General features: G+C 49.8%; 1 annotated feature.

Moving 5' to 3' along the window:
• Positions 4,782-5,493: an enhancer, noted in NCBI's record as "H3K4me1 hESC enhancer chr7:47674273-47674984 (GRCh37/hg19 assembly coordinates)". NCBI's record gives its function as "activates a minimal SCP1, AML or CMV promoter by ChIP-STARR-seq in naive H9 embryonic stem cells {active_cell/tissue: H9 hESC(naive)}" and the evidence as "EXISTENCE:reporter gene assay evidence [ECO:0000049][PMID:30033119]".

Raw genomic sequence — 9,713 nt, forward strand, 5'->3', positions numbered from 1 at the left:
ATTATATGTTTTTTGTTTGTTTGTTTGTTTTTTGACACAAGGTTTGGCTCTGTCACCCTGGCTGGAGTGCAGTGGTGTAATCTCAGCTCACTGCAACCTCTGCCTCCCAGGCTTAAGCCATCCTCCCACCTCAGCCTCCTGAGTAGCTGGAATTACAGGCGGGTGCCATGGCTAACTTTCGTATTTTTTGTGGCGACGGGGTTTTGCCATGTTGCACAGGCTGGTCTTGAACTCATGAGCTTAAGTGATCCACCTGCCTCAGCCTTCCAAAGTGCTGGGATTATAGATGTGAGCCACTGCGGCCGGCATATATATATATATGTGTGTGTGTGTGTGTGTGTGTATACGTTTGTGTGTGTGTATATATATATATTTTTTTCTTTTTTTGAGATGGATTTTTTTTTTTTTTTTTGCTCTTGTTGCCCAGGATGGAGTGCAATGGCATGATCTCGGCTCACTGCAACCTCCCCTTCCCGGGTTCAAGTGATTCTCCTGCCTCAGCCTCTCTAGTAGCTGAGATTATAGGCGTGCGCCACCACACCCAATTAATTTTTTATTTTTAGTGGAGATGGGGGTTTATCCATGTTGGTCAGGCTGGTCTCGAACTCCCCACCTCAGGAGATCCACCCCCTCGGCCTCCCAAAGTGCTGGGATTACAGGAGTGAGCCACCAGGCCCCGGCCTATTATACTTTTTATTGTTATTTTAGAGTTTACTTTTGCTTATAAAAAAGAAGTTAACTGTAAAACAGCCCCAGGCAGGCCCTTCAGGAAGCATCCAGAAGAAGGCATTGTTATCACAGGTGAGAGCTCCATGCATGTTATTGGCCCTAAAGACCTCCTGATGGGATGAGATGTGGAGGTGGAAGACAGTGATATTGATGGTTCTCACCTTGTGTATGCCTAGGCTAGTGTGTCTGTGTGTTAATTTTTAACAAAAAATGTGAAAATTTAAAAATAAGACTTTAAAAATAGAAAAAAGCTTATTTAATAAGGATATTAAAAAGAGAAAATATTTTTGTACAGCTATAAATTGTGTTTGCATTTTAAGCCAGATGTTATTTTAAAAAGTCAAAAAGCTAAAAAATGTAAAAGTTTATAAAGTAAAAAAGTTACAGGAAGCTAAGTTTAATTTATAATTGAAGAAAGAAAATTTAAAAATAAATTTAGGCCAGGTACAGTGGCTCACGCCTGTAATCCCAGCACTTTGGGAGGCTGAAGCGGGTGGATCGTCAGAGGTCAGGAGTTCAAGACCAGCCTGGCCAATATGGCAAAAATCCATCTCTACTAAAAATACAAAAAGTAGCCCAGTGTGGTGGCACACACCTGTAATCCCAGCTACTTGGGAGGCTGAGGTGGGAGAATTGCTTGAGCCAGGGAGGTGGAGGTTGCAGTGAGCCGAGATTGCGCCACTGCACTCCAGCCTGAGTAACAGAGCGAGACTCCATCTCAAAATAAATAAATAAAATTAAATGTATTGTAGACTAAGTGCAGTGTTTATAGAGTTTACAAAGGTGTACAGTAATGTCTTAGACCTTCACATTCACTCACCACTCACTCACTGCCTCACCCAGAGCAGCCTTCAGTCCTACAAGCTTCATTCCTGACAATGCCCTATCCAGGTGGACCATTTTTTTTTTATCTTTTGTATACTGTAACTTTACTGTACTTTTTCTATGCTTAGATAGGTCCAGATACACAAATACTTACACTATGTTACAATTGCCTATAGTATACAGTACCAGAACACGTTGGACAGGCTTGTAGCCTAGGAGCAATCTGCTGTCCGGTGTAGCCTAGGTGAGTAGGAGGCTCCACCACCTCGGTTTGTGTAAGTGCACTCCATGACCGCACAATGACAAAATCTCAGAACGTATCCCCGCCATGAAGTGGTGCATCACTGCACACATAGGCCACATATGCACCCGGGCTGGACTTTCAGTAAGCACCTGCCCCCTTGTGCTAGTGTCTGAGGAGACTCAGCATGCTGAAATGTCCCGCAGTGAAGGGGAAATGTGGAATGAGGGACACCGGCATGTGCGATGGGCAAGAACCAGCTTGGAGCTGGTTCGGCCACCAGGCACTGGCTCGGGGCAGCTGAGCAGGCCCTTAACTAGCTCGCCTTCCTGCAGGCATCTTTTGCACACCTGCTGTGTGCCGGGTGCTGGTTGAAGATGCAACCTCTGACCTTTAGGGATTGCAAGCTTGAGCTCGGTGGGGACACAGATGATAGATAAATAACACAGTGTGATAACCATCTGGTCAGGGATGGAACCTGATGAGGAAGAAGTGACTGGAATCCTCCTGGGCTGGAAGGTGGGGGAGCTTTTATGTCTGCAGTCTCTTTGGGTAGGGAAGAAAATGAAGCAGGGGAGGCCTTCCTGTAAGGGGAGTCAGTCCAGGGTGTCAGGGGGTGGGTGGGAGAGGAACCTGGGAAGGCTGCAGGGCTGCACACTGTGCGTGGGGCAGTGGAGGCTCAGAATTTGGCACCCTGGGTGATGTCCAGCCATCAGAGTGTTTGAGGTGGGGGCAGTGCTTCAATCAGATGAATATTTTAGGAAGAACAGGCTGAAGGCAGCCATGTGGGGCTGGGGCAGGATGGGGGCCTGGGAGGGGACATAAGGTTGGGGCTGAGAGGCCCTCTGACGGGGGCTGGGAAGGGAAGGAAACAGAGAAGGAAGTGATGGTGAAATGAGGTTCTGTAGGAACTTTGGGCTCGTATAGCAATCCCCACTCTTGGCGCCTGTAGTCCCAGCTACTTGGGAGGCTGAGGCAGGAGGATGGCATGAACCCGGGAGGCAGAGCTTGCAGTGAGCCGAGATCATGCCACTGCACTCCAGCCTGGGCAACAGAGTGAGACTCCGTCTCAAAAACAACAACAAAAAAAGAAATCACCACTCTTGTGTATGTCAAAACACTCTCCTAAACATACATGTTTCCCCACGTCCTCTGACCTTCCCCACCAAACTGTAAAAGGCATCAACACAATCTTAGTAGATAGAGAAGGAGAGAAGTAAGCAGGCATCTTTCGAAGTCTTCTTATGTGCTAGACACTGTGGTGGCAGATTCCAGCGTTCCTTTAATTCAACTTTACAACAAACCTGTGCAGTGTGGCCTGTATGCCCACTCCACGGATGAGGACACAAGGTTAGGTTAAGAGAGGTGCAAGGGCAGAGTGGGAGAGGGGCCATTTAAGCCAGTTCTGCCATGCTCGAACACTGGGAACTCCAGGCTCAGCAGTCACTGCATGAGGAAGAGGGGACAGTGGACAAACGCGGCAGGAGCCCCCAGCCTCTGAGCAACAGCAGAGTATCCTGCGCTGACAATATCTGAATGTCACATACTCTTTCTTTTTTTTTTTTTTTTTTTTTGAGATGGAGTCTTGCTCTGTTGCCCAGGCTGGAGTGCAGTAGCGCTATCGCGGCTCACTGCAAGCTCCGCCTCCCAGGTTCATGCCATTTTCCTGCTTCAGCCTCCCGATGTCACATACTCTTACAAGACAAAGCTCACAGTGAGGGGGGCAGGAGGGACTTCCACTGCTGGGGTCTGCTTTCCCTGCTTAGCGCCCTCACCTCCTCTTGAGCTTCCAACCTTCCGTCTCAGGCTTGTTCTCTCCAAGATGGTAAAACAGAGCTTTCTGTTTGTTTGTTTGTTTTTGAGACAGAGTCTCACTTTGTCACCCAGGCTGGAGTGCAGTGGCACTATCTTGGCTCACTGCAACCTCCACCTCCCAGATTCAAGTGATTTTCCTGCCTCAGCCTCCCAAGTAGCTGGGATTACAAATGTGCACCACCATGCCCAGCTAATTTTGTATTTTCAGTAGAGACAGGGTTTCACCATGTTGGCCAAGCTGGTCTCGAACTCCTGACCTCAAGTGATCCACCCGCCTTGGCCTCCCAAAGGGCTGGGATTACAGGCTTGAGCCAACACACCCGGCCTGTCTGCTTGTTTTTAACAGACATGTTTGCCTCTTCTTTTTTAAAAAAAGCAACACCACCCCCAACCCCAAATAAATCTCAAGAAAGAAAAAGACCTTGATCAATGACTCTTTTTCCTTTAATTTTAATGGAATGCATAAGGTTTAAAGTCAGAGAGAGGAGGGTTGGAAGCTTGGTCCATCTGGTACTTGCAGTGTAAACTTGGACAGGGAATCTCATCTCTAGTTTCCTCTTCTGTGAAATCGAGATAATCCTACCTTCTTCACAAGGTAACAACACAGATTAAACAAGATGATGAATATAAAATGCTTGGTCCCAGCCCTAGCTCATTGTACACAGCTGCTCCACATAAAGTATTGAAGTTACTATCATTGCTATTAACTCTGACTCTCTCTGGTCCTACAAGTGCTCCTTAAGGAGGCTCCTTTAGGATGACAGGGACTGTGTCCAAGGCTGAAGTTCTGCCTGTCCAAGGCTGGGCTAAGCCACCAGTCTGGTCAGTTCAGTGGGTGGTTACAGGGTTAGGGGCTTTGCTGGGATGAGTAGTCAGTTTACCTAAGTGTGCAATCAGTTCATCTTGCCAGGTCAGACATGCCAGCTACTGCTGAAAGTATGTGTATTTAAAGATTGTCTGAGTCTGCTCCAGCTGCCATAACAAAATACCACAGATGGCTTCAACAACTGAAATTTATTTCTCACAGTTCTGGAGGCCAGAAGTCCAGGACCAGGGTGCCAGCATGGTTGGGTCCTGGTGAGGACTCTCTTCCTGGCCTACAGACGTCCGCCTTCTTACTGTGTCCTCACATGGCTTTTCTTCTTCTGCCCTGGTTGGGAGAGGGGGAGAAAGAGAGAGGGCGGGGAGATCCCTTTCCTCTTTTTCTCCTTGTAATCCTGTGGTGGGTAGTCCCACCCTCTTGACCTCATCTAACCCCAATCACCCCCAAAGGCTCCATCTCCAGACACCATCTCATTCAGGATTAGGGCTTCAGCATGTGAGTTACGAGGGGACCACAAACATTCAATATTGGGTATCCTATTTCCCAAGAACGAATAGTCTTCAGGGGAGTGAGTGTTGAGATAGAATGACTTTTGCTTGGAGGCTCTCTGCCCCTCTTAGGGGGCTGCATGGATTCTCCATGGGCGCTGTTGCCCATGCATCTTCTCTGTGCAGCTTCCTGTGCCTGACTGTTTAGACCTCACCGCAATCCCGCATGTTGGTGCTGTTATGACCCCCCTTCTGCCAGGAGGAGAGCAGCTCAGGGAGAACTGGCGTGCCCAGACGACACAGCTAGGACGGGGCGGGGGCTTAATGGAGCCCAGAGCTCTGCGTGCAAGTCCAGGCTCATCCCCACCTGCTCCTCCACTCCCAGAGAGCCCCAGCCTCTCGTGGTGCGCTGGACGAACCTGTGCTGCTGCAGCTGGTGGCGGGTGTACTTCTGGGCGTGAACTTCACGCTCACTGGGAGCAGCCCATGCACCGGCCCCCTCGGTGCGCTCAGGTCTCAGGTGCCTCCGGGAAAGAGGAGAAGGCAGCTGTCTCTGCGCTGTCCCTGAGCCTGATGCCTGTCTGGAATCCTACTGATGAACTGTGAGGACCAGGCTGGCAGCAGCCAGCTCATTAGGTCTTGTCCTCTGAGAAACGCCTGGCAGAGGGCGGGGCAGCCGGCCAGGAGCAGCGCTGGGAGGAGGGTGTTTGTTTTTGACACAGAAGAGCTGGAGAACACTGCCATTCGTGAGCTGACCTGGAAATGCTGGCGGCCCCTTGGCAAGGGAGCTGAAAAGGGCAGCCCCCTCTGTGGAAGGTGGTCGAGGGGTGGTGCTGGGTTGTCTGAGAAGACATGGGCTGGGCCTAGGTGAGACTGAGCAGAGCGTGGGAGCCCAGGGAAAGGTTCAGGGCCAGGACAGGGAAGGAGGGAGGGGAAGAGGGAGGGAAGACAGGAGAGAGAGGAGAGGGAAGCAGGGGGGAAAGGAGAGATGGGGGAGAAGAGAGGGGAGAAGGAAAGAAGAGGAGGGAGGAAGGAAAGGAGAAGAGGAGTGAAGGAGGGAGAAAGGAGACAGGAGGAGAGGAAGAAGTGAGGGAAGGAGAGAAGGGAGTAGGGAGAAGAGGGGAGAAGGGGAGAAGGGAGGAAAGGGAAGACGGAGGGGAAAAGAGGAAGGGAGGAAGCAGGGGCACCCCAGAAAGGGCCAGACACTCTCCAAAGTTACAGCATCCTCACAGCATGCCCCCTGAGAAGGCAGCATTCATGCCATTTTGTTTAAGTGAAGAAACAGGAATGAGTGCCAGAAATGGGACCTGGGCCGAGTTGGTCACAGCCAAACAGAGAGCAACTGGGTGGCCCATGGGTGCATCCAGCCTGTACCCGTGGTTTGGCCTGTGGTATTTTTGCATTTGTTTTCAGTTGAGTTCGTTGCCAGCCTTTAAACATCAGGAGACTTTACACAAAACCAGGGACTGTTGGCTTCTTTTTCCACACAGGCCCTTCTGGACCCACAGAGTCCACATTCCCCAAAGTGAAAGCTGCCTGGCCTCTGGGGGTGCACTGGGTCCAGCACCCACAGGTGAAAGTGAAGTCAGCCAGTGCCCCGTCCTGGAAGCCTCTGGATTAACTGCGCAGAGTGGTCAAGGTCTCGGGGACTTTCCCCATTGCTGGGGGGTCGGGGGAGGGGATCCCCTTACAAACACCTCCAGGCCAGGTGCTTGGCTCTAAGGCAGGAACGCTTTTCTGTGTCTTGGCTCCCGGGCTGGGGACAGACAGGGAGCCCGTGAGTTTGTTGGCTGGAGTCACCCTTGACTGTCATCCTCGGGCTGCATCTGAAGGGAAATGGGGCTTTTAACAAAGTCAGTCATCCAAGAAAAACAACGCCAGATAATTTTGAGGCTAAAGAGCAGCCCTCTGCTCCCATCCCTGCCTGATTCTTTCTAGGGCAGGACGTTTGCTTTATTTTTTCATGGCGATGTCAAGCAGAAACATTTTCCAGGTCCTGGCAGCCCAGTGGTATGGAAGGCGTCTTCCTTCCCGCCCTGGCATTAGCTATGGCTGTCACTTACAGCAAAATGAGACACTCTGCGACTGTCTGACTGCCTCCAGGCGCTGGCTGCATTTGTGCAGGATTTGGGGCCTGGGCAGGCTCAGCCGACTCAGAAGAGCCTGTTTAAAAATGAACTCTTTTATGTTCGAAAGTTTCAAAAATAGAAGGAGCCAAGTTTAGAGATGGAGATGCCATTTAAATGTCTATGGTTACGAGTGCTGTGGGTGGTGGCCTCCCAGCCTCCCTGGGCCGCGCCTGCTCCCCATGGGCCACAACACCACCCCCCCTCCTCCAGCCGCTGCATTTTCTTCTATTCCCAACTGTGCGCCACAGAACTTTTACAGTTATTCACAAAGGAAACCTCATAGTAACAAACACATTTCAGAAACCTAAACCTGGTGCAGGAAAGCAAACGGCCAACATTTATTTAATTTTATATCTTAACATGCATGGTATACTATATTCAATCATCTCCCCTCTATCTTCTAAATGATGAGAACCTCTCAACACATAGAAAATGTATAATAAGGCCAGGCGCAGTGGCTCATGCCTGTAATCCCAGCACTTTGGGGGGCCGAGGCGGGTGGATCACGAGGTCAGGAGTTTGAGACCAGCCTGGCCAATATCGTGAAACCCCGTCCCTACTAAAAATACAAAAATTAGCTGGGCATGGTGGCCCAGGCATGGTGCCTGTAGTCCCAGCTGCGTGGGAGGCTGAGGCAGGAGAATTGCTTGAACCCAGGAGGCGGAGGTTGGAGTGAGCGGAGATTGTGCCACTGCACTCCAGCCTGGGTGACAGAGCAAGACTCCGTCTCAAAAAACAAAACAAAACAAACAAACAAAAAATATTTAATAATAGCACAGCATGCACCATTATATGTCCTACCTAGATTCTGTAATCAGTAACATTTTACCGTTTTTTCTTTTTTGCTATTTTCTTTTTTCTTCTGAACTGCTTGAAACTAAACTACTGAGTTATGATGCTACAGACCTAAGTATTTCAACACACCTCTCCTGAAAGTAAAGACTTTCTTTTTTTTTTTTTTTAAGACAGGGTTTTTCTCTGTTGCCCTCTGTTGCTCGGTTCACTGCAGCCTCTACCTCTGGGGCTCAAGCAATCCTCTCACCTCAGTCTCCTGAGTAGCTGGAACTACACGTGTGCGCCACCACGCCTAGCTAATTTTTGTTCATTTTTTGTAAAGACAAGGTCTTACTATGTTGCCCAGGCTGGTCTCGAACTCCTGGGCTCAAGGCATCCTCTTGCCTCAGCCTCCCAAACTGCTGGGATTCCAGGTGTGAACCACTGCACCAGGACAAGACATTCTTTCACATAGCCAAAATAACATCATCCTACGCAAACGATCAACCATACTTCCCTAGGATTATCTACTATCCTGCCATATGCAGATGTCCCCAATGGCCCCCAAAATGTCTATTACAGTTGGTTTTTGGCCCTGAAGCAGCATCTAACAAAGCTTCCATTGGTTGTTTTGCCTTTTCAGAGTCTCCAAATGTGGCACCCTTCCCCTTGTTTCTTTCTATTGTCCTATTTTTTCAGTGACACCAGGTATTGTTGGCATTTGCTTACCCTAGGAAGAGGTCCGAGGCACAGTCCTCTGTGCTCCCAAGCACCCTAGGAGTCCCTGATCTCTGCTCTGGAGTCCTCTGCCCACCGCAGGCCCCAGCAGCTCCATCTATGGCCCCTCACCCACCCCTGCTACCTCACCCTGCTGTGTCCATAACACCCCCAGAATGATTTCCCTTTAACAGCAGTCTGAGAGTTTGGCCTTGAAACCTGGAAAAGGCTGCAGGGTAAGGCCTGACCTCCTCAGCTGGGATCCAAGCTGTCACCCCTCTCCCGCCATGCCTCTCTGTCTCATCTCATCCCCTAAATGCCCCCTTCGTTTCCAGGTAACTCAGGCACACAGAACTTCCCTGACACAAGCTCTTTCATGCCTCTGTATGTTGACACACGCGGCTCCCTTTTCTGGGGCACTCTTCCTGTCCTGTTCTTCTCACCAGAGCTGCATCCGCGCTTTGTAACTCAGTTATCAATTGGGCCTCTTTGCTCCGTACAATGCGGCCTATCTCCCTATTATAAGACATTGCATTACACTGAGTTTGTTCTTTACAAGTGCATCTCCCTGCGGATGGAGCTCCATGAACAGTTGTTCAGATGTTCTTATAGGCAGTGCTGCAGTCAACATTCTTCCACAGTCTCCCTGGACTGGCTCCCAGGACTCCAGTGTTGGAGTCTGAGTACACAAAGGAGTGGAGGAACTGGAGACCTGCCCACTCCCTTCATGTTCCAACGTGATGCCGGGGGACCGGGCTCTGGGATCTGCTGTGCATCTCACCGCTGTGTGAGGGTGCCCATTTCTCCATGAGGGGTCAGCTTTTAGTACTGCCCACTTTTAATGTTTGCCAAGCTCGTGGATGTAAAGGGTATCACACTGTGATTTCCATGCACATTTTCCTGAATTAAAGGGTGGCTGAGCATCTTCTCATATTTTCTTGGCAATTCAGACTTCCCATTTTAAAAATCCCCTGTTCTTTTCTGTCTCTGGCAGTTTCTCTTCTTCAAAAGGAGGCCAAAGTGGGGTTTATATTAGAATCCTGGTTCCTCACCAGGGATGCAATATGACAGCTGGTCAAGAAACTGTGGCTCAGTTGAGTGTACAATAGAGGAGGGCAGGGAGTGTGTGATAATAGAAATTCAAGGGGCGTATAATGAGTGTGTTGGTGGAG

This window comes from Homo sapiens, chromosome 7 (genome assembly GCF_000001405.40).
Source record: "Homo sapiens chromosome 7, GRCh38.p14 Primary Assembly".
NCBI classification, from domain to species: Eukaryota; Metazoa; Chordata; class Mammalia; order Primates; family Hominidae; genus Homo; species Homo sapiens.